The sequence below is a fragment of the Homo sapiens genome, chromosome 1, assembly GCF_000001405.40.
Source record: "Homo sapiens chromosome 1, GRCh38.p14 Primary Assembly".
NCBI classification, from domain to species: Eukaryota; Metazoa; Chordata; class Mammalia; order Primates; family Hominidae; genus Homo; species Homo sapiens.
Window position 1 is genome coordinate 162,538,887 of NC_000001.11, and position 25,220 is coordinate 162,564,106.

General features: G+C 43.6%; 1 protein-coding gene, 1 long non-coding RNA gene and 1 pseudogene across 18 annotated transcripts in view, besides 1 other annotated feature; 1 reads left to right on the forward strand and 2 right to left on the reverse strand.

Moving 5' to 3' along the window:
* On the reverse strand, positions 2,446-2,773 carry UQCRBP2 (ubiquinol-cytochrome c reductase binding protein pseudogene 2; annotated as a pseudogene).
* On the reverse strand, positions 13,667-22,467 carry UAP1-DT (UAP1 divergent transcript). The gene is made up of 3 exons (XR_426859.4): positions 22,352-22,467; positions 21,589-21,766; positions 13,667-13,759 (listed from the first exon to the last, which is right to left on the reverse strand). It is a non-coding gene; the product is annotated as a UAP1 divergent transcript (long non-coding RNA).
* Positions 22,425-23,324: a silencer, noted in NCBI's record as "silent region_1493". NCBI's record gives its function as "represses an Ori minimal core promoter by ATAC-STARR-seq in GM12878 lymphoblastoid cells {active_cell/tissue: GM12878}" and the evidence as "EXISTENCE:reporter gene assay evidence [ECO:0000049][PMID:35858748]".
* The window catches only part of UAP1 (UDP-N-acetylglucosamine pyrophosphorylase 1), a 39,710-nt gene continuing 37,134 nt past the window's right edge, over positions 22,645-25,220 (forward strand). For 6 of the 17 annotated variants that reach the window (NR_174352.1, NM_001324117.3, NM_003115.6 and 3 more), the window contains exon 1: positions 22,645-22,891. Coding sequence is in view for 1 of the 17 variants with exons in the window: in NM_001399793.1 (NP_001386722.1) it covers positions 22,798-22,891 (94 nt within the window). In the remaining 16 variants the exon portion in view is untranslated. Of the gene's footprint in view, positions 22,892-22,983; positions 23,124-23,539; positions 23,699-25,220 lie in introns of those variants that run through there. The other 11 variants (XM_047428845.1, NM_001388401.1, NM_001324115.3 and 8 more) reach the window with 5 other exon arrangements.

Below are 25,220 nucleotides of genomic sequence, written 5' to 3' on the forward strand. Positions count from 1 at the left end.
TGTGCCTCACATACACATGCCCCATATAATAGGTAGACTACATTTCTTAGATAAAATACATACTTAACTCATTGCTCATGATATTTCTTTGAATTCCAGGAACATGACCAAAGACTAATTTTCTAGGTTGTACAGGAAAACAAAAACCACACATACAGGCTAATAATGACTGATCTCAGAGCATATGAATTGAATGACTCTGATTCTCAAACTTTCAGTTGCCTGAATTGAGAGGCCTTTTCTTATTCTTGCATCACTTCATATTAAGCCCTTCTGAAGTTCCTTCCTAACTTGAAGCAGCACCCTCTTTATGGAAAAATACAGTTCTCAATGAAGGTAAGTATGGCAACTATGATCTCTGTTAGAACAGCCCAACAAATGCTCAAAGCTCACGTACAGGAGAGGGCAGGTTTGCCTGACCACACTGGGTGAGCAGCAGAATTAAAAGCCAAGCCTGAACCAGGGGTGGTGACTCATGCCTGCAATCCCAGCACTTTGGGAGGCTGAGACAAGTGGATCCTTTGAGGTCAGGAGTTCAAGACCAGCCTGGGCAACATGAGGAAACTCTGTCTCTACTAAAAATACAAAAATTAGCTGGGCGTTGTGGCAGGTGCCTGTAATCCCAGCTACTCGGGAGGCTGAGGCAGGAGAATCGCTTGAACCCGGGAGGTGGAGGTTGCAGTGAACATAGATTTCGGCACTGATCTCCAGTCTGGGTGACAGAGCCCGATTCCATCTCAAAAAAAAAAAAAAAAAAAAAAAATGTCCAGCCTGAGCCTGCGGGATAACATACTTTTCTTTCTTGCCTACAGAATTTGTATTACATATGATTATTATATTTTTCTCATACAAAGACATTGTTCATAATAAACTGTACCAAATTTTAAAGAGAAATATTCTACATGAGATCATTAAGATCCTGACTATAAACTGTGAATAAGAAACCAGAAAACACCAGTGGCAGTGGCTAACACCTGTAATCCCACCACTTTGGGGGGCCGAGGTGGGCGGATCACCTGAGGTTGAGAGTTCGAGACCAGCCTGACCAACATGGAGAAACCCCGTCTCTACTAAAAATACAAAATTAGCTGGGCATGGTGGTGCATGCTGGTAATCCCAGCTACTTGGGAGGCTGAGGCAGGAGAATCACTTGAACCGGGGAGGCAGAGGATGCAGTGAGCCGAGATTGCGCCATTGCACTCCAGCCTGGGCAACAAGAGTGAAACTCTGTCTCAAAAAAAAAAAAAAAAAAAAAAAGCAGAAAATCTTTGTCATTTTAAAATGGTTTCTGGGTGGTAGTCGCAAATTGCAAAAATACTACAGTTTTACAAGGTGCATTTTATAGCTCCAGAGAGAATTCATCTTTTGTTTGGGGAAGCAATTCAACAGGTCTTTGGGTGATGTAAAGACAGTACTCACAGACTAGTGTGTGGAAATAAGAAGGGGCCAAACCGCTCCGTATATTAAAGATTTTGTTCCTTGGGTACAGAGACAATCAAGTGATTACCTGATTTTCTGCTTGTGGGGAATCCAAAGACATGAAATTGGAATTACTTTATTTTTTTGAGATGGAGTCTTGCTCTGTCGTCCAGGCTGGAGTGCAGTGGCGCAATCTCGGCTCTCTGCAAGCTCCGCCTCTCGGGTTCACGCCATTCTCCTGCCTCAGCCTCGCGAGTAGCTGGGACTACAGGCGCCCGCCACCACGTCTGGCTAATTTTTTTTTTGTATTTTTAGTAGAGACGGGGTTTCACTGTGTTAGCCAGGATGGTCTCGATCTCCTGACCTCGTGATCCGCCCGCCTCGGCCTCCCAAAGTGCTGGGATTACAGGCGTGAGCCACCGCGCCCGGCCGTAATTGGAATTATTTTATCTGGATAATAAAATACAGTGATCTCAGGATGCCAAAAATAAAAACAAACATCAACCAACTTGGTAAAGTTGGGGTACGTATTGGATTCATTTGAGACAGTTTGTTGTTGTTGTTGTTGTTGTTTTTACTATAGGTATTTATTTAAAGGAAAACGTGCAGACTAAATACTTTTCTTTTCTTTTCTTTTTTTTTTTTTTTCTGAGACGGAGTCTCACTCTGTCACCCAGGCTGGAGTGCAGTGGTGCGATCTCGGCTCACTGCAACTTTCGCCTCCCAGGTTCAAGCGATTCTCCTACCTCAGTCTCCCGAGTAGCTGGGATTACAAGTGCCCGCCACCACGCCCAACTAATTTTTGTATTTTTTAAAGTAGAGATAGGGTTTCGCTATGTTGGCCAGGCTGATCTTGAACTCTTGACTTCAGGTGATCCACCCGCCTCGGCCTCCCAAAGTGCTGGGATTACAGGTGTGAGCCACTGCGCCCGGCCTAAATAATTATTAAATTGTGTTTTGGCGTTAACCAACATCTTCATAAAAATACTTTGAGGACAGCTGCATCCATAGATTTCAACTGCATGATTACTTCTTTGCCCATTCTTTTCTCTCTTTTCTCTCCCAAGTAACCGCTTTCAGATACGGTTCAAGGTAGAATTTATCCTGTCATATTTGGTCCACTGTTCTTTAGGCGAGATCTGCTGCCTCATAGTCAGGTCCAGCGCAATCGATGTGAAACATCCTGTTATTATAAAGGTTCACAGGAGGGCTTCTTATGGCTTCTCTTACTTCTTCATCCTTATATATGGTATCATCTGGCATTAACCCCAGTTTATGGAATCCTGCAGCATTATAATACACTTACCAAAAACCATCCAGCCACTGATGCTGCAACAGCCGGCCTGCCAGCCATTTTGACCCTGAGATAGTTTGGAACCCTGGTACAGGATCTACATGCACCTTAGACTGGTACTTCCCCAAGGATTGCGTCACGAGCAACTACCAAATGGATTTTCAGAGTCCAGACTGTTCAATTAATCTCATCCACACACTCCCCTCTTCCCTCAGTTCTCTGTTCTCTTGCAGCCTCTGCCTTCAAAATCTGTCCAATGAGTGGCCCTATGGCCACTGTTCCTTGGGAAATTGTAATTCCAGCTAATGGGGAGGGATTTTTTTTCTTAGTCTCTTCATAAGCATTCAAGGGAAATGCCTCTGGCTTTGCTCAGATGCTGGCTCTCTTCCACTCAGTTCCTGTCAGCTCCTGGAGGAAGAGAAAGCAGCTATACTTTCTGGAGAGAAGATTATGAGGGAGTCGGGTGGGGCAGGTACTCCCTTTGCAATTCAGTTTACTCATCATTGAGAGCAGCAATGATTTCCTACGGACTTCACAGAAAATAAGTACAACTCATACTAACCAAGAAGGGCAATTTTTTTTTTTTTCCTTTTGGGACATTACATCTCAAAGTTAAGAAACAAAACATTAGAAATTGCTGATGGTTTGGCTGTTCCTTTTAAACAACACATCCTGGTCATTGAAGCATTTGCTCTTTCCTAGACCTGTCTTATATTATACCCTGGCCATACATTACTTTTTATTTCTCATGAAAAAAGGGAAACACCATCTCAAATTAGCATTCTTTTCTTTTGTATTCCAAATTTTCTCCTGATGGAAGGCTGTCCTACTGTCAAGAACAATTTTTAAGAGCAAAGCAATCTCAATTTGTATTTATATATATATTTTTAATTTTAGGTGGGGTACAGTGGCTCATGCTTGTAATCCCAGCTCTTTGGGAGGCTGAGGTGGGAGCATCACTTGAGCCCAGGAGTTCAGGACCAGCCTGGGCAACATAGTGAGACCCCATCTCTACAAAAGATACCAAAAAAAAAATAGTCAGATGTGGTGTCACGCATCTGTAGTCTCAGCTACTCAGGAGGGTGAGGCAAGAAGATTGCTTGAGCCTGGAAGGTTGAGGCTGAGGTGAGATGTGATTGTACTACTGCACTCCAGCCTGGGTGACAAAGTAAGATCCTGTTTCTCAAAAATAAAATAAAATAAAATAAAACAAAATATTTATTTAATTGGAGAATTCTGTCTGCCTAAATTCCCCTAACACATTTTCTGCTGGATAGAGGCCAGGAGAAGTAAATGGTAGGCCACTTTGACAGCCCCTAAAACACACACACACACACACACACACACACACACACACTAATATCCCTTACTCCCACTACATTTATTTGTTTTGACATGATATAAAGATAAGGAATATTTGAAAAAAATACTTCAGAGATGTAATGGCTCTTTTTCAAATATGTGCGGGGATTTCACTTCTTTAAGGAAGTATTTCTTGAACCACACCCTCCAAGTGATGTCAACTTCATAATTTGTACTACCATAGCATCATAGCAGTCTCAAAGTACAGATACGTACTTTGATTATAATTGTACCTTAACATTTATTAGTGTAATTACATTTGAATATGGCCTCTCCTCTAGCTTCATTTGATCATGAACTGTTTCTGGCTTGGTCACTATTATATCCCCTGTATCAAATATGCTGCCTGATACACAGTAAGAGCCCAATAATTATTTGTCAAGTGCATATGTAACCACCCAATGGGCTCATCTTGCCCACTGCCTAGATACAGCCAATTTATCAAGACAGGGGAATTGCAATAGAGAGAGTTTAATACACCTAGAGCCAGCTAAACAGAAGACCGGAGTTTTATTATTACTCAAATCAACCTCCCTGAAAACTCAAAAATTCAGAGGCTAGCGCTTCTCAAGCATAATTTAGTGGGCATGGGGCTTTAGAAGAGGGAATACTGATTGGTGAGGATGCAATCATAGGAGTGTAGGAAACGGTCTTTTTCTGAGTCTGCTTCTGGGTGGGGGCCACAGAGGAGCCCCTGGTCTAGGTGGGGCCATCTGGTTGTCAGAAATGCAAAAGTCTGAAAAGACATCTCAAAAGGCCAATCTTAGGTTCTACAGTACTGAAGTTATTTACAGGAGTGACTGGGGAAGTTGCAAATCTTATGACCTCCAGAATAATGGCTGGTAATCATTTAACTGTGCTTACATCTTAGCAGAATTCAGGCCCCTCTCATCCTTGTAATCTGGTGGACTTTCATTGTTTTTTTTTTTTTTTTTTTGAGATGGAGTCTCGCTCTATCACCCAGGCTGGAGTGCAGTGGAGCAATTTTGGCTCACTGCAGCCTCCACCTCCCGGGTTCAAGCGATTCTCCTGCCTCAGTCTCCCGAGTGGCTGGGATTACAGGTGAGTACCACTACGCCCAGCTAATTTTTGTATTTTTTTAGTAGAGACGGGGTTTCACCATGTTGGCCAGGCTGGTCTCAAACTCCTGACCTAGTGATCTGCCTGCCTCAGCCTCCCAAAGTATTGGGATTACAGGCGTGAGCCACCGCACCCGGCCTTTCATTGGTTTTACTAAACTGGTTTAGTTTAGGGAAGGGCTATTATAATTTAAACTATAAACTAAAATTCTCCCCAGATTAGCTTGGCCCATGCCCAGGAATGACCAAGGGCAGTTTGGAGGTTAAGGCAGGGTGGAGTTGGTTAGATCAGATCTCTTTTACTGTCATAATTTCTCACCGTTATGATTTTTGCAAAGGTGGTTTTAGAGAAAGGAATGGGTGGTTCAAGTGGTAGTATTCAGAAAAATGGGCAGAATCACAAGGGAGGCAGATATTCCACCCCCACCCCTCAGCTGTCCATACCCAAATCCCTGGAACCAAGGAACATGTTGCATTACATAGCAAAAGGGACTTTGCAGATCCAGCTAAGGTTATGAACTTTAAGATAGGGAGGTGATCCTGGATTATCCCTGGTGATGGGGATGTGGGGAACATTCAGTTACAGGAGCCCTTAAAGCAGAGAACTTTTTCTTTTTTCTTTCTTCTTCTTCTTCTTCTTCTTTTTTTTTTTTTTTTTTTTTTTTTTTTTGAGATGGAGTCTCACTCTTGTTGCCAGGTTAGAGTTCAATGGCACGATCTCGGCTCACCGCAACCTCCGCCGCCTCCTGGGTTCAAGCAATTCTCCTACCTCAGCCTCCCAAGTAGCTGGAATTACAGGCATGCGCCCCCATGCCTGGCTAATTTTTTTTATATTTTTAGTAGAGACAGGGTTTCTTCATGTTGGGTCAGGCTGGTCTTGAACTCTCGACCTCATGTCATCTGCTTGCCTTGGCCTCCCAAAGTTCTGGGATCACAGGCGTGAGCCACCGCACCTGGCAAAGCAGAGAACTTTTATGGCCGGCCGTGGTGGCTCATGCCTGTGATCCCAACACTTTGGGAGGCTAAGGGTGGCGGATCATGAGGTTGGGAGTTCGAGACCAGACTGGCCAATATGATGAAACCTTGTCTCTCCTAAAAATACAAAAATTAGCCAGGCGTGTTGGCGCACGCCTGTAGTCCCAGCTGTTCAGGAGGCTGAGGCAGAGTAGTTGCTTGAACCTGGGAGGCGGAGGTTGCAGTGAGCCAAGATTACGCTACTGCACTCCAGCCTGGGCGGCAGAGCATGACTCCGTCTCAAAAAAATAAAAATAACTGGAGTCTCTGACTCCAGCTGGAGTCAGAGAGAGGTGGCAGAAGGGAAAGTCAGAGATTCAAATCATGAGAAGAACTCTACTTGCCATTGTTGGAAGAGGCCACATGCAAAGCATGAAAATAAATGTGGGCACCCTCTAAGAGCAAAGCCTGGCCCTGGCCTGACGGCAGCAAGGAAACAGGGACCTCAAGAAACCGAATATGGCCAACAACTTGAACAAGTCTGGACGTGTATTCTTCCCCAGGGCTCCATTAAGGAGCACAGCCGTCTGCCAACACCTCGATTTAAGCATTTTCTTTTCCTTTTTTCTTTTTTTTTTTTTTTTTTTTGAGACAGAGTCTTGCTCTGTTGCCCAGGCTGAAGTGCAGTGGCGCAATCTTGGCTCACTGCAACCTCCACCTCCCGGGTTCAAGCTATTCTCCTGCCTCAGCCTCCCAAGTAGCTGGAATTACAGGTGCCTGTCACTATACCCAGCTAATTTTGTATTTTTAGTGGAGACAGGGTTTCACCATGTTGGCCAAGCTGGTCTCAAACTCCTGACCTCAGGTGATCCACCCACCTCGGCCTCCCAAAGTGCTGGGATTATAGGCGTCAGCCACTGCGTCCAGCTGATTTTTGCCTTTTTGTACCCTAAGTAAAGGACCCAATTGAACTTACCCAGCTTCCTGATCCAGAGAAACTGTGATATAACAAATTTGTGTGGCTTGAAGCCACTATGTTTGTAGTATTTGTTACAGCATCTATGTAAAATGAATACATCCATCCATAGAACAAAGGGATTTTATAACATTTCTATCTGACAATACCTAATTCGTGATTTCATTAGCTCTTTATCTGTCAGAGATGTTAAAGAAATGATTCATGCATTGGTTGGGAGGTAGGATATGATGACTTAGAAAGTTTCTTCCAGGGGCCCGGCACAGTGGGTCGCGCCTGTAATCTCAGCACTTTGGGAGGCCGAGGAGGGCAGATCACGAGGTCAAGAGATCGAGACCCTCCTGGCCAACATGGAGAAACCCCGTCTCTACTAAAAATACAAAATAAGTTCAAGCAATTCTCCTGCCTCAGCCTCCCGAGTAGCTGGGACTACAGGTGCATGGCACCATGTCCAGCTAATTTTTTGTATTTGTAGTAGAGATGGGGTTTCACCATATTGGCCAGGATGGTCTCCATTTCTTTACCTCGTGCTCCACCTGCCTCAGCCTCCCAAAGAGCTGGGATTACAGGTGTGAGCCATCCTGCCTGGCCCATTATTGTCTTTTTGAGATGTTACTCTGCAATATTTATCTAAATGGGTGCTGGACAGAGTATTTACTGTTTTGGAAAATAAATGGTTGGATATATGAATTCAGTGATTAAGAGTATGAAATTTGTAGTAAGAGAGATGTGTTCATATTCAAAATCTGCCACAGTTGAGACCTTGAAAAAGCTACTTGACATTTCTCAGCCTCAGTTTATTGAACTATAAGATGAAAATAATATCAGGGCAGGGTATGGTGGCTCATGCCTGTAATCCTAGCACTTTGGGAGGCTGAGGCAGGTGGATCAGGAGCTTGAGACCAACCTAGCCAACATGACGAAACCCTGTCTCTACTAAAAGGACAAAAATTAGCCGGGTGTGTTGGCGCACACCTGTAGTCCTAGCTACTTAGATGGCTGAGGCAAGAGAATTGCTTGAACCCAGGAGGCGGAGGTTGCAGTGAGCTGAGATCACACTCCTGCACACTGCACTCCAGCCTGCGTGACAGAGCAAGACTCTGTCTAAAACAAACAAACAAACAAACAAAAAAACAAAATAATTATTAGAAAATTACCTTAACTTTTGTGGTAAAAAAATTTAAGCACATAATTGAAAATATTTCACATTGTTAATTTAAATGTAGGCTTTCCTTATTCTAATAATTATCCAAATCAGCTATAATCAGGTGCTGTATCAAAGAGTCACTCCAGCCTGGGCAACAAAGCAATACCTTTCTTTACAAAAAATAAAAAAAATAAAAATTAGCCAGGCGTGGTGGCATGCACCTGGAGTCTCAGCTACTTGGGAGGGTGAGGTGGGAGGATCACTTGAGCCCAGGAGTTTGAGGCTGCAGTGAGCTGTAATTGAGTCACTGCACTCTGACATGGGCAATATAGAACAAGAAAAAAAAAATTCACAACTGCCATTTGGAAAGTTCCATTTACTATATATTTTCATATTCCTAAATTGCTTTTTAGCAGTTTACTATTGTGTACTAAATTGTGGCCTAAAGTCATGTTTTTCTATGGCTAATAATAAATAACAATTTTAGACAGTTATTTAAACAAAATGGCTACCTCCAAACAAACTATCACAACTTTTTTTTGGGAGTTACAGTAGAACCGCATAAAACCTAATACTAATGGAATAATGTTAAATGATAAATAAATAAAGGACAAATTGATTTTTAAAAATACAAACAAATGCCGGGTGCTGTGGCTCACGCCTGTAATCCCAGCACTTTGGGAGGCTGAGGTAGGCAGATCACGAGGTCAAGAGATCAAGACCATCCTGACCAACATGGTGAAACCCTGTCTCTACTAAAATTACAAATATTAGCTGTGTGTGGTGGCATGCACCTGTAGTCCCAGCTACTTGGGAGGCTGAGGTAGGAGAATTGCTTGAACCTGGGAGGCGGAGGTTGCAGTGAGCCGAGATCACGCCACTGCACTCCAGCCTGGCAACAGAGAGATTCTGTCTCAAAAACAAACAAACAAAAAAACAAACACCATATATATAAAAAAAATCTGTAGATTTCCATCATGATGTAATTTAATGAGATAATCTGGTGAGGAAAAGAAAAAAGTCTGTATGTTTATTTCAGTCAAAAGGATTTATTTTATTCTTGGGTGGCCTGTTTATATTTTATCATGCATTCATTTTAACTGTTGAGAATACAGTGCAATGAAATATATTCCGTCAAAAGAAGAATCTAAATTGTCTCTTTAAAACAGCCTTACGATCATGACAAATCTAGTCAGAAGTTACTTCAGTGAGATGCCAGAAAGGTCTGGGCTCATGAGCAAACCCCAGGGCGTCTTTTCAAAAACTTGTGGGTGAGAAATGAGCTCAACTGGGGCAGGGTGTGGTGTGCTACGTGAAGTCAAGATTTCAGAGAAGACACTGTTCCTCTCTCTCCCTGGGGAGGAACACTGCCAAGGATAGTAAATAGTCTTTTAAAAGTACTTAGACTTTCAACTCTATAAGGAAAAATACTACCTTTAATAGGAATTGTTTTATGTGCCAGGCCCAAAAGGTGGCCTTCCTTTCTTCCTTATTCCCCCTCCCTCCTTCCCTTCTTTCTCTCCTTTGTATGTTTCGAATTTTAATGTTTATAATATCTGTAAAATTAAAAAATAATCTATTTTTTTCTTTTGAAAATCCTAAAAGCTTCAGGTCTTTAACTGATTTTTTTTTTTTTGCTTTTAATCTTTCTTTCATCACAAAAAGGAAAATAAAAAAGGAGTCTCAAGTAACACCAGCTTGGCTACTAAGGGACCCTTTGTGCCCCTGCTGGGTCAGCAAGGCCAATCAGAACAGTTTTATCACATAAGGGGCTGGTATTGTAGGAGGTGCAGGCCTGTCATATTAACTGTCTGTATTTTGTCCCACTTTATAGGCAGAGAAGACAAAATGGAGGCTTTTAAAAACCCTTCAGGGGATCTGGCACAGTGGCTAACACCTGTAATCCCAGCACTTTGGGAGGCTGAGGTTGCAGTGAGTCGAGATCACACCACTGGACTCCAGCCTGGGCAACAGAGTGAGACTCTGTTTCAAAAAAGAAAAAACGAAAAAAAAAAACAAGAAAAAGAAAAACCCTTCAAGGACTCCTCACTGCCCTCAGGACAAATTCTAAGCTCCAGTGTGGCTGGAGTCTGGTGAATCAGGGCAGGCTATGGAGAACATAAAAGGGAGAAGTTAGAGAAGGAGCAGGCCAGGTGGAGTGGGACAGCATAGATGACCTTGTGGGTCATTTGATGATTTTGCATTTTATTCTGGTTGAGATAGGAAGCCATCAGAGTGTTTTGAGCACAAGGGTAATATAAATCCACAGATCATCATTCTGGCTATTGTATTGAGAATGGCTTTAAGAAGGGCAAGGGGGCCAGGTGTGGTCGTTGACGCCTGTAATCCCAGCACTTTGGGGGGCTGAAGCTGGAAGATCACTTGAGCCCAAGAGTTCGAAACGAGCCTGGGCAACAGTGAGACCCCATCTCAATTTTTTAAAAAAAAAGGAAGAAAGAAAAGAAAAGATAAAAACAAGGGCAAGGGTAGCAGCAAGACTCGTTTGGAGGCCGTTATGTAATCCAGGTAAGAAATGATGATGGGAGAAAGTGATATTGAGAATTGGTCAGATTCTAGATGTACTTTGAACATAGAGCCTATGGGATTTGCTGTAGATTGGATCTGGTATGAGAAAAAGGAGTGAAGGATGACCCTAAGATTTTTTTTTTTTTTTTTTTTTGAGACGTAATCTCGCTCTCTCGCCCATGCTGGAGTGCAGTGGCGCAATCTCGGCTCAATGCAAGCTCCGCCTCCCAGGTTCACGCCAGTCTCCTGCCTCAGCCTCCCCAGCAGCTGGGACTACAGGCACACACTGCCACGCCCAGCTAATTTTTTAATTTTTAGTAGAGACGGGGTTTCTCTGTGTTAGCCAGGATGATCTCGATCTCCTGACCTTGTGATCCTCCCGCCTCGGCCTCCCAAAGTGCTGGGATTACAGGCGTGAGCCACCGCGCCCGGCCGACTCTAAGATTTTTGGCCTGAGAAACCATAGAGATAGGGAAGACTGAGGGAGGGAAGCAGGTAGTTTTGGAGGTGTATAGGAATCATTTGGGAATTCAGTTAAAGACATGTTAATTGTGTAAGTAAGTATTCAAGGCCGGGCATGGTGGTTTACACTTGTAATCCCAGCACTTTGAGAGGATGAGGCAGGTGGATCACTTGAGACCAGCCTGGGCAACATGGCGAGACCCCGTCTCAATTAAATTTTAAAAAATTAAATAATTCAAGCCCCAGAACGATGTCCTTGAGTGGGCATGAAAGGATGGGATCTAGCACACAGGTAGAGGGGTTGAACCATGGACAGTTTATCCTAAGCACATAGAGATAAGATAAAAATATGGGTGCAGATACAAGTACATGGGAGGGTGTGGTGGTGGGAACTTGTAAAAGTTCTCTTCTGATTGCTTTTGTTTTCTCAATGAAAGAAGCAAGGTTATCTGTTGAGAGTGAGCATGGGGGAGAAGATTATAGAGGCCTGAAGAAAAAAAAAAGATGTGAAATAGTCATCTAGGAGGATGGTAAAATGATATTTCTCTAGAGTAGACTAGAGAAATATAGCATATCATATTTCTGTGGTGTTCATGAATTTAAAGTCAGACGAGTCAGCATGATTGCACGTTTTTCTCCAATATGTTCATCTACCTGAGTATTCTCGTTCAGGGTCTCTCACAAGGCTGCAATCAAGGTGTTGTTGGCCCCGGGCTTACCTGGGTTTTCTGCTTCAAGGTCCCACCAGACTGTAGTCAAGATGTCAGCTTCACTGCATTCTCACCTGGAGGCTTGACTGGAGAAGACTCCAATTCCAAGCTCCCTCTGTTTCCTTGCATTTGCAGGATTGCAAATTTCAGGGTTTTGTTGTTGTTGTTTTCTTATTGTTTGTTTGTGTTTTTGTTGGCTGGAGGCCACTCTCAGCTCCTAGAAGCTGCATGCAGTTCTCTGCCATGTGGTCCTCCACAGGCCATTCACAACATGGCAGCTGGTTTCCTCAAGGCCAGCCGAATTGTGAAAATAGTTTGTTGGCAAGAAGGAGTCTTACATAATGTAACATGATCTTGGGAGTGACATCTACTCACCTTTGTCAAATAGCATAAAGTGTTCAGGGGAGTGAGTATCTCCTTTTCCATATTCTGTTAGAAGCAAGTCATAGGTCCTGCCTGCACTCAAGGAGAGGGGTTACACAAACCCCCTCCAAATGCACACCATTCTATTCTCAATACTTGGCACTCACAAGGCCAAACTTAGCAAATATATGTGTGTGTGTGTGTTTGTGTATACACACACATACAGGATTTGTTTTATGTGCCAGGCCCAAAAGGTGATTTCCTTCCTTCCTTCCTTATTCCCTCTCTCCCTCCCTCCCTCCTTCCCGCCTTCCCTTCTTTCTCTCCTTTCTTTCCATCATGAAGTTTTGTATATATATATACACACTCACACACACATATTTGCTAAGTTTAGCTTTGTGAGTATATATATATATATATATATACACACACACATACACACATATATAGGTGTATATATATGTATATAGTGAGATGGAGTCTTGCTCTGTCGCCTAGGCTGGAGGGCAGTGGCACTATCTCGGCTCACTGCAGCCTCTGCCTCCAGGGTTCAAGCAATTCTCCTGCCTCAGCCTCCCAAATAGCTGGGACTACAGGCACCTGCCACCACGCCTGGCTAATTTTTGTATTTTCAGTAGAGACGGGGTTTCACCATGTTGGCCAGCCCGGTTTCGAACTCCTGACCTCAAGTGATCTGCCCACCTCGAAGTTCTGGGATTATAGACGTGAGCCACTGCACCCAGCCAACAAATATAATTTTTTAAACAAAAACTTACAGAGCTCTTATTCTGTGTCAGAAACTGCTCTAAACACTTTATAAATATTAATCTTCACGGCAACTCTAGTCGGTAGGTCTTTTTATTAAGTAGGTCTTATTTCTTTTTCTACATTAATTTTTTTTTTTTTTTTTGGAGAGACAGGGTCTCACTATGTTGCCCAGGCTAGCTCTCGGATTCCCAGGCTCAAGCAATTCTCCTGCCTCGGCCTACCGAAGTGCTGGGATTATGGGTGTGAGCCACCACGCCAGGCCTGATAGGTTTTATTTATGTCTGCATTTGGGAATCAAGGCATGGAGACATCAGTTAACTTGTTGAAGGTCATAGTAACTGCAGAGCCAAGACTCCAACTCTTGTAGTCTGGCTTCAGAGTTCATATTCTTACCTATTATGCTAAGCAGTTAATGACAAATTAAATGAATAAATAAATGCTTTGGGGGGACACAGGAAATAATTACCCAGCAGCTCTGAGAACCCAAGGAAGTTTTGAAACCACACTTTTGTAATTCAATTTTTTTCTTTTTTTGTTTTTGTAATTCAATTTTGATGTCAAGCCAGTTAGCACTGCCAGAGACTTTTGTTGCAACATCGGTTCTTTCTTCCACTAATATTCAGTAACACAGGCCAAGGGGAGATATGAGGTCTGGAGCAAAAAATGTTGAGGAAGTTTTTGCTGTGCCTAAGATATTACCTGGAAAATAAAAACAAAGTTAATTTGTTGTCTATTCATAAAGAAGGAATAGGTGACCAGGAGATATCTCCAACAAAAATAACTTGTGGTATATCGTATGTGTGAGAAGGATAAGAGATAAAATGCACAATAAATTCAGACATGTTCACTTAGAGTAGAGCTGAAAAACTATATTATGAAAATTGTATTCTGAGAAATCATCCACATCTGAGAAACCATCTTGTGGAAGGTCAACAGCCCAGCAGAGATGGATGGCTGAACAATGACCAAATAGGTGGAGAGCAGGTTTAGAATAAAGTATGCTGCCCTTCTGGTTTCAATGTAGGTCAGAGGCCATTCTAGGCTAGGTTTTTGAGGAATTTCCCTTGCAGAGAGTAACACTGTGTGGCTGCCTGCATTAGAAAGATCCAGCCAAGGCCGGGTGTGGTGGCTCACGCCTGTAATCTCAACACTTTGGGATGCCAAGGTGGGTGGATCGCTGGAGGCCAGGAGTTCGAGACCAGCCTGGACAACATGGCGAAACAGTCTCTACTAAAAATACAAAAAATTAGCTGGGCGTGGTGGCAGGCGCCTGTAATCCCAGCTACTTGAGAGGCTAAGACAGGAAAATTCCTTGAATCTGGGAGGCAGAATTTGCAGTGAGCTGAGACTGTGCCACTGCACTCCAGCCTGGGTGACAAAGTGAAAATCCATCTCAAAAAAAAAAAAAAAAAAAAAGAAAGATTCAGCCAAGTGGGCTCTCAAGAGTATGCATTAAGTATTTGACCTAGGACTCATAATGGTTACAAGCCATTTAGTTTTAAGAGAAGAAAATATATTGGAATAATTGATTATGGTGGTTGAGGTTTTTAATGACTGGATTATTTTTACACTCATTACCTTCAGAGGATCTCTGTTATATGGCAATAGATTGACTTCTGATCCTCCTGTTTTTTCTTAACTACTTGTTCTTTCCTTTAGTTAATCTCTTAACTTATGAGAAATTTTGTCTCCTTATCTATGAATTAAGGGAGGTGAACCAGGTAATTTCCAGTCAACAACACAGGAATAAAATTTCAAGTCCACTCCTCCACACTATAAAGACCATACCTCAGTGTGGAATCCTGTGGTTGTGTACCTCCTGTAATTATCACACATTGATACTCTCAATTTTTATTTCTTTTCTTTTTTTTTCTTTTTTTTTTTTTGAGACAGAGTCTGGCTCTGTTGCCCAGGCTGGAGTGCAGTGGTACAATCACGGCTCACTGCAGCCTCAAACTCCAGGGCTCAAGTGATCTTCCCACCTCAGCCTCTGGAGTAGCTGGGACCACAGGCATGTGCCATCATGCCTGGCTAATTTTTGTATTTTTTGTAGAGGCAGGGTTTTGCCATGTTGCCCAGGCAGGTCTCAAACTCCTGAGCTCCAGAGATTGGCCCGCCTTGACCTCCCAAAGTGCTGGGATTACAGGTATGAGCCACTGTACCTGGCACACCAATACTTTCTTGCCCACTTTCTCTCCTGTTCATTCCATTTTGTTATTTATGTGATTCTTAGGTTATAATCAGTTTTGAGAGGTTGTACATTTACTCATCTTTGTATATCATCCCCAGCATCCTACACACTGTAGATGCACAAATATTTTTCTGACAACTTAACCCTCTGAAGGACAGCATATACTTTTGGAGGGTGTGGGAAACACTGGGTAAAAAAAATAAATTTGTCATTTAATAGAGTGTACTCATCATTCCACAGAATTTCACAACACACTTTGAAGTACAGAAAATTTATAGGGTGGAAGAAGTGGTAAGCTAAGTCAGGATGATCTCTTGGGAGAATGAAGTAATGTCCTAGGAAACTGTCAAAAGGAAAGTCAAAACCCTAATCCCACCCCACCCATTTATTTGAAGGCTCTCAGAAACAGTGACCTCATGAATGCTCAGGCCTTGCCTTGAACAGAGCCTTGAGTTGAGCCAGACTTTCTCCTGGTGTGTTGTCTATACTGCTGGGAAATAATACGGACATTTGCAGAAGTTCAGTGGACTAGCTGAGGCCATTGCACTCAGGACAATGGAGGGAAGGCTCCTCTAGTGTATACTTGCTAATACCAGCCTACTGTTAAAAAATCTTGGTGGGGCAAGGCACAGTGGCTCACGCCTGTAATCCCAGCACTTTGGAAGGCAGAGGTGAGTGAATTACTTGAGGCCAGGAGTTCGTGGCCAGCCGGACAACATGGCAAAACGCACGTTTTCTACTAAAAATACAAAAATTAGCCATACATGGTGGCACATGTCTGTAACCCCAGTTACTTGGGAGGCTGAGGCATGAGAATCACTTGAACCCGGGAGGTGGAGGTTGCAGTGAGCTGAGATCATGCCACTGCACTCCAGCCTGGGCAAGAGATGGAGACCCTGTCTCAAAAACAAAACAAAACAAAACAAAAACAAAAAACCCTGGGTGATGGATCATTACTGGTTGTACTAAGCAAGAGAGTGTGGCCAGACTGGCACATATCTGTCATGACTTCAGAGAAGAACAATCAAGGAAGCAGCTTTTTAAGTTGTTAGCATGCCTGCTCTTCTGAAATTAAAAAAAAATTCTCCTAATTATAAAACAATTTCCTCTGTAGCATATTTAGAAAATAACCCCTCAAAATCATCCAAAAGAATATAAAAATCACCATAATTCTATCATCCCTAAAAGACAAAACACAAAACCTACTCTTGTATGTCTTGAATTTTTTAATTTGTTTGTAGTAATGGCCCACTTAAAACATCTCTCCTGTAATCGTGGTATGATTGTTTGTTTGTTTGTTTGTTTGTTTGTTTGAGACAGAGTTTCACTCTTGTTGCCCAGGCTGGAGTGCAATGGTGCAATCTTGGCTCACTGCAACCTCCGCCTCCTGGGTTCAAGCAACTCTCCTGCCTCAGCCTCCTAAGTAGCTGGTATTACAGGTGCTCACCACCACTCCTGGCTAATTTTTTGTATTTAGTAGAGACGGGGTTTCACCATGTTGGTCGGGTTGGTCTTGAACTCCTGACCTCAGGTGATCCACCCACCTTGGCCTCCCAAAGTGCTGGATTACAAGTGTGAGCCATCTAGCCCAGCCTGATTCTATATTTTTAATAGAGGACTATTCTATTTCACTTTTTTCTTTCTTTCCTTCTGTCTTTCATTTATTCACCTAACATTTATTTATTATTTATTTTATTTTATTTTATTTTATTATTTTTAGACAGAGTCTCGCTCTGTCACCTGGGCTAGAGTGCAATGGCACCATCTCAGCTCACTGCAACCTCCACCTCCCGAGTTCAAGTGATTCTCCTGCCTCAGCCTCCTGATTAGCTGGGATTACAGGCGTGCACCACCATGCCCAGCTAATTTTTGTATTTTTAGTAGAGACAGGGTTTCACCATGTTGGTCAGGCTGGTCTCGAACTCCTGACCTTGAATTCACCTAATATTTATTGAATAGCTACTGTGTGCTAGGCTTTTTCTCTTTTAATTCTCTTTCCAACTCCATATTTCAATTTTGTAGATGAGGAAACTGAAGTTCAGGGAATTTAGGTGATTTTTTTCCAGGTCTCACCGCTTCTATATACCTGTTTTATTTTATTTTATTTTATTTTTGAGATGTGGGTCTCACTCTGCCGTCCAGGCTGGAGTGCCGTGGTGTAATCTGGGCTCACTGCAACCTCTGCCTCCCAGCCTCAAGTGATTCTCCTGCCTCAGCCTCGCAAGTAGCTGGGACCAGAGGTGCACACCAGCACACCAGCTAAGTTTTTGTATTTTTGGTAGAGACAGGGTTTCTCCATGTTGCTTAGGCTGGTCTTGACCTCCTGGGCTCTGGCAATCCACCTGCCTCGGCCTTCCAAAATGCTTGGATTACAGGTGTGAGTCACCGTGCCCGGCTCTATCTATCTATCTCTCTGTCTATCTATCTATCTAGCAGATGAAATATTATCTTTTGGAAAACCAAGCTGAGATCATAATACACTGCTAAAAATACATACATTTTGGTAAATATTCCATTTTGGTGTTTCAAATTTTACAGTTTATTTAATAGCAACCCTTAAGTAGATATCTCACTTTTTTTTTTTTGAGACAGAGTTTTGCTCTTGTTGCCCAGGCTGGAGTGCAATGGCGCCATCTCAGCTCACCGCCACCTCTGCCTCCCGGGTTCAAGTGATTCTCCTGCCTCAGCCTCCAAAATAGCTGGGATTACAGGCATGTGCCACCATACCCGGCTAATTTTGTATTTGTAGTAGAGACAGGGTTTCTCCACGTTGGTAGGCTGGTCTCAAACTCCTGACCTCACGTGATCTGCCCGCCTCCGCCTCCCAAAGTGCTGGGATTACAGGCCTGAGCCACCGCGCCTGGCCAGATGTCTTACTTTCTAAGTTCTCAACCTGAGTACAAATTCCTTGGTCTTTTTCATTAAGGAGGCAGCAGGAGTTAGAGAAGGTGATGGTGTTACAAGGGGGGAAACACATGAAGGCCTCTATCCCCAAGGCTGCTTATAAAAGGGCAGCCTCCCATGAGGAGTGAGGCTGTCCCTTGCCTCCTGCCTCTTTCCCAAACCTTCTGGCTGTCCTTTTGGGAAACCTCTTCATTCCTTCATACTTTCCCTCCTCTGAGCTCTGAAATCCTTTATTTGTGCATTCACTATGGCGCTTATGACTCTCTGCATTGAAAAAGAAACCTCTTCTATCTCTATTATTGCACTATAAGCCATTAAGGACACAGAATCTTTTGATTCCCTAGAATGTCTATCACAAAGTCTAGCACAGAGCAGCCAAATAAACATATTTTGAGCAAACATCAGTTTGTTCTTTTTTGAATGCTGAAAACACGCCAGTTTGCGCTTAAGAGAATAGTTCAACTTCAGAGACATCCATATATAAACATGGAGGGATTTCAGGCAATGCCCGCTCTGTACAGGTTTCTGTGCTCTTCATCTAAGCCTCCACTGTATCCAACTAGAAGGCTGAGAATCACAGAAAAACATTTTCCTATCATTATTCCCGTACTAAGGAGGCACAGTTGCCACCATAAACAGCACTTACCGGTGGCATTTACAGCTTCTCAGGTGATGTGGCATTCTGACCAGATGCCAGAAGGCTTGTGACATGGTACAGATATGCTGTTCTGTACACTGTCACACCTTTCCTGGATCATTTTCCTTCAGAGCTGTGTGCTCTGTGGGTTAAAGATTTTCTTTTGTGTTGGACTGGTAATGAACAACTCCACTGTTGGTTGTATTTTAAAATTTTATGTAATTTCAATCTTACTTGAAGAACAGTATAAAGAAGTTCTAAATACCCTTTAAATTAACTGTGTTTTCCTCCATTTACTTTACTATTATTTACTTTGCCTCCCAAATTTCTTTCTTGCCTACCCCCATGTATTTATGCACATATATTTCTTTCTGAGCCTTTTATTTATTTATTTTTTGAGACAGGGTCTCACTCTGTCACCCATACTGCAGTGTAGTGGCATGATCACAGCTCACTGCAGCCTCAACCTCCTGGACTAAAGCGATCCTCCTGTTTCAGCCTTGGGAGTAGCTGGGTCCACAGGCACATACTACCATGCCCGGTTAATTTTTATGTTTTTTAATAAAGATGGGGTTTTGCCATGTTGCCCAGGCTAGTCTCAAATTCCTAGGCTCAAGTGATCCTCTCGCCTTGGCCTCCCAAAGTGTTGGGCTTACAGGCGTAAGCCATTGCTCCTCATCTTTCTGAGCCATTTAAGAATTACAGACATCATATTCTTTTACCCCTAAATATTTTAGTATGTCTTTCCTAGGAACATAAACATTCTTTTACATAACCACAGCACAATGACCAAAATCAATTTATTTAGTCATTTGTTCATATCCGCAACACACATGAAATAGCTCCAGAATTTTTTCATTTGATCAAATATCTTGTGTGGCTTTTAGGCATCTTTTATAACTCTCCTTACACAGATTTTGCACATTTTGCGCTAAATTTATACTTAATTTTTTTTGTTGCTGTTATAAATGGGATTTTCTCCACCATCGTGTCTTCTAAATGTTATAATGTGTGTATATGAGAGCTATTGATTTCTATATGTTCATTTTATAACTTGCTACCTTACTGATATGGTTTGTCTCTGTGTCCCCACCCAAATCTCACCTTGAATTGTAATAATCTTCATGTGTCAAGGGCCAGACCAGGTGGAGATAATTGAATCACTGGCGTGGTTTCTGCCATAGTGTTCTCGTGATAGTGAGTTCTCATTAGATCTGTTTTTTTTTTTTTTTTTTTGAGACAGTCTCGCTCTGTCATCCAGGCTGGAGTGCAGTGGTGAAATCTAGGCTCACTGCAACCTCCGCCTCCCAGGTTTAAGCGATTCTCCTGCCTCAACCTCCTAAGTAGCTGGGACTACAGGTGCGTGCCACCACACCCAGCTAATTTTTGTATTTTTAATAGAGACAGGGTTTCACTATGTTGGCCAGGCTGATCTCAAACTCTTGACCTCGTGATTTGCCCGCCTCAGCCTCCAAAGTGCTGGGATTACAGGCGTGAGCCACCGCGCCTGGCAGATATGATGGTTTTGTAAGGGGCTTCCCCCTTTGCTCAGCACTCATTCTCTCTCCTGCTGCCCTGTGAAGAGGTGCCTTCCACCAGGATAGTAAGTTGCCTGAGGCCTCTGCAGCCATGCAGAACTGTGAGTCAATTAAACCTCTTTTCTTTATAAATTACCCAGTCTTGGGTATCTCTTGATAGCAGTGTGAAAACGGACTAATACACTAACCAAAATTTTTCTGTGGTTTGTTAGTCTTATTGTTGACTCTCAAGGGCTTTCCAGGTATTCTCTCTTGTCATTTGCAAGTCGAAGTAGTTTTATGACTTTTTAAAATTCTTAAAAAATAATTTTTTAATTCTTATATATTTTTTCTAATTTATAAGCCTCTTAGGATTTCTGTTGTCTAACTTCATTAGCTGATACCTTTGGTGTAATGTCAAAAAATCATAGGTAGTGTGAACATCGTTGCCTTGTTTTCTTCAATCAGCTCTTAAAAGACCATGTATATAAAAAGTATTTCGAAGGACAGAAATAACTCTAGTGTTAGACATTTCTGGACATTTAGCTGGCAAGATGAGATTATGGCCCCTCTTATGCCTAGTAACCAGAATAACAAACAAATGAAACTTCAGCAAAAAAGGGTAAAAGTACAAATGTGATTTTATAGTAGTTCATTAAAAACATTGAGCTGGACCTCAGTTCTATCTTTTTTCTTTAAAGGATTGCTAACTAATAATTTTGCTCTTTACTCAGTCATTCATCTATGACTTATAGAATGCCTATAATATTCCAGACATTATCTTAGGTTCTTTCTCATTTTTTACTATACCCATGTGAAATAGGTATTAGCTTCATTTCATAAAAGGACATTGGAGTTTGGAGTGGTTAAATGACTTACCCAAAGTCACACAGTTAGTAAGCGTAGACTGATTTTGAATCTGGGTCTCCTAGTTTGAATTAATAAGTGCTCAATAATAAATAATAACTAAAGGTTATTTAGTGTTTACTGTTTTACATACTTCATTTATATCGATTGGTTTAATACAACCACCAAATGGCATTTTCATCTTTATTGTCTGTTTTTTATAGATGAGAAAACTGATAGCACAAGTAGCTTGCCAAAGATCACAAGCAATAAAGCTGAAATTGTCTTCAGATCCCATGATTAAGAAACCAATCACTACACTATAAACCAATCACTACACTATTCTTCTTTCAAAGAAACGAAGGAAGTTCTAGGATCATGAGAGATGGAGAGTATTCAATCTCCTGAATGTAAATCTACCAGCATTACTTACCAAGTTTAAGTTTTTCTGTTGTTACTTGAGGCAGTGGGTGATTATGCAATTGGTAAAGGGAATGAAAAGGCCTTTGCACCCAAGAAAGTAGAAGAAAGGCGCCTGAATCTCTTTATGATAGGTGGTATGTTAAATCTAGGTATTTTCGTATTTCAACATATTCCACTTCTTGCAAAAGCTGCAAAATGCAACACAACTTTAAATGTAAACATAGCTTCCAAGGGCACAGTGCTGAACATATAATAACCTGTGTGTGCACACCCACACTAGGTTATGTAACAGGACTGTAAACACTGGTCCTGGAATGGCCTGGGAGGTCATCTAGGTCCTCCACCATCTTTCTGCAGAGTACTGAGGCCTAGCGACGTTAAGTCTGCAAACTCACAAAGATGACCCCGGGCTTATACTACCTTAGGTTACCTACTACCTTTGCTTGCATTTCCTCTCTCCTTTCCTGTCTGTTTGTGCAAAAGAAAAAAGGCCTGGCTTCGCCTTCTTGGGAGCCAAAACACAACCAAACAGAGAGCGAGTTTGGAGCCCGGCCAGGCATCTTGTGAACTGCACACAAAATAACTAGCCCAAGGTCAGAGAGCGCGCCAGGCCCGCCCTGAAAGTTTCTCCGCAGGAAAATCCACCGCCCTTTCCCAACCACCCGCGTGGGTGGCTCGGAAATCCGCCACCCTGGGGACACAGCTCCCTGCCCATCTCTGTGGCCCGCTTGTGCCCCGTGCCGCTGGGCCGACTAAGAGCCTCGGGCTCGCACCTCCCAGTACAACCTAGGGACGTCAGGGGTCCTGGGACCCACGAGCCGCTCTCTGCCGGCCGGCTCCTGGCCCCTCCTAGCAGACCCAACCGACATCCTTCACCCTCAGTTAGTGCGCAGGAGGGACCGGGACGCCAGCCGACTGCGCTCCAGAACTATTCCCATTGGGCCAGAGAATGAGTGACGCACTAGGCCCCGCCCCGGCCCGGTGGGTTACTCCTTTCATGCCCGGCCCCCATCCCTAGCCCCGCCCCGGCGCCCCGGGCCGCGGCCGCCTCCGCGTCCGCGTCGTCGTCTGTGCTCCCGGCGCTGACGTGTCTGGGCGGTCGGCTTCCACTCCTTCAGGCGTCGGCAGCCACTAGTCGTGGCGAGAGGGGCGGGGTGGCCGGGGCTGGCGCTCCACTTGGCCCCCGCTCCCGGCCCGCCCCGCCGCCGCGGCCCCCCGGATGAGGGTATATATTCGGAGCGAGCGCGGGACGCCGATGAGTGGCCGCGCGGAAGGAGCTGGAGACGGTCGTAGCTGCGGTCGCGCCGAGAAAGGTGAGGGGCTCCCAGCCCAGCGAGGAGACGGCGGGGCTCGGGACCCGGGCGGGCGGAGGGCCTGGCCCCACCGCACACACGGCCACGCGCTCAGACGTGGACACGCGTCGCACGAACGTGCACAGCGCGGGCAGCCGAGCACACGCCGAGGAGCCTCCCGCTCGCCCGCAGACACACACCCCAGCCCGTGCGCCCCGCAGTCGCACCCCATCCTCCGCCACCCCGCGAGAGGGTGTGTGGGCTGGGCAGCCGGGTGGATGGCGGGGCCAGGGATGGAATGAGCGCGCCCCAGATGGACTGGGGGCGTTGTGGGAGGAGGTCTGGGCCAGTGTCTGAGTCCGAGGGGGTCGTGTAGGCGTGTGGGGTTGGGAGTGGGGCCTCTCCCGGGTGGGCAGTAGAGACCTCGAGGCTCTCAGGCTAGGGCCTTGTGGACAGTTATACCAAGTGTGGGGGCCTGTAGTGGGACAGGAGATCGTTGGCACTGTCAGGTGGAAGCGAGTTGGTGTGTCTTGAATATATGAGGAAAAGATTTGAGAGGTCTGACAAAGACAGGGGATACATTTGGAGGACAGGACAGTGGGACAAAACCTGTTTGCTTGCCACTTTTTTCTTTCTTTTTTTTGGTTTGGTTTGCCATGATACTGGTAGTGAGAGAGAATTGAAATTTCTGGGTTTCCCCTCTCTTGGCCAAGCAGAAGGATGGTATTGGAGGGCTGAGCACACGTATGCTGAACATATGGCTGCTTGAACTTTGGCCTGTCGCTGTGCTACACTTACTTCTACATGGTTTATGAAATCTGAAATCAGGTAATAGGATTATGATCATATGTGTGTGTCATTTGGTATTGCAAAAGTTTAAGGACTTTTAGGTGAAATTCACTGGGTGTGGATCCAAGAGTTCGCCGGAAACTCAAGGCAGTTGTCTATTCCTTCACGGTTAGTCAGTTGGCTCACTTAGCTGGAGCAAAGAAAGACTTCATAGGCTGTGCTGCCAAGCATTTATAGGATTCAGTTGGTGGTTATGTCTCAACTCTGATACTGTTTTTCAAAAGCTTTAAGAGGTTTACTTATTCATTTCGAGGGCATACGTATACCAGCAGAGATAGGGGCTGGGTGGGGGAAGCCAGAAAAGGAGGGAGAAATACTGGATTTCTTTAATACTGGTATTTAAATTCTAATAAAAATATATTTGATAATGGTAGATTATTACCAAATTTTTCATATATTTTGATGCAGATGGATTAGGCTGTGGGCATGTACCAAGTTTTGTCATAATTTCTCGAGCAGATTTTCAACTTTTTCAGATTTCGGTTGTCAAAATAAAAATCCATATCTTTTAACTCTTCTGTTAATTGCTGCTTACCATTACACGTGCCTCTAAACATCGTTAATGGGAAACATGCTACTATTTTTGTGGCATGAAGGTGCTTATATCTGCCTCAAATAAATATAATAGATGAATTGTGCTTGTCCAAAACTCAAGTATGGTCGTTACATTATGAACATTATACAACATGTAGATGAACACATGTTACCAGTGGTTTACGCCCAGATATCAAAGTTTAACCTATGAGGTACCCTTTTTTTTTTTATTTTTATTTTTTGAGACGGAGAGTCTCACTCTGTCGCCAGGCTGGAGTTCAGTGGCGTGATGTCGGCTTACTACAACCTCCGCCTCCCCGGTTCAGGCGATTCTCCTGCCTCAGCCTCCTGAGTAGCTGGGACTACAGGCGCGTGCCACCATGCCCAGCTAATTTTTGTATTTTTAGTGGAGATGGGGTTTCACCATGTTGGCCAGAATGGTCTCCATCTCTTGACCTCATGATCCGCCCGCCTCGGCCTCCCAAAGTACTGGAATTACAGGCGTGAGCCACCGCGCCCGGCCCTATGAGGTATCTTATTTGCATGGATTCATTTTCCCAAGTGTCTGAAGGTGGAGGAGTATCTAATGATCTTTTAGGAAAAGTTTGGTTTATATCTTAAAATGTTATAGTAATATGTTTGTGTATGCCTTTTATCAGACAGAGCACTCTTTACTCTTGACTATCTTGAAGGCATGTGAGAAAGGTTGGTTGTCTTATATTCATGAGGAAATCTATGCACAGGGAGGTAAAATGATTGCATAGAATCAAATGATAGAGAAGGACCAAGAACAGGGACTTCCTATTCTTTGGTTATCTGGTTCCTTGCTGATCTTCCTACTACAATGTACTCCCTTAAATCAGAGGCAAAGCAGCAGCATAAATAAGGTCTTGGGAAAGACTACATTCCTTGGAAAATAATTTAATATAAATCTGTTCCTCTCAAGTGTCTTTTTTAATGTGATTTT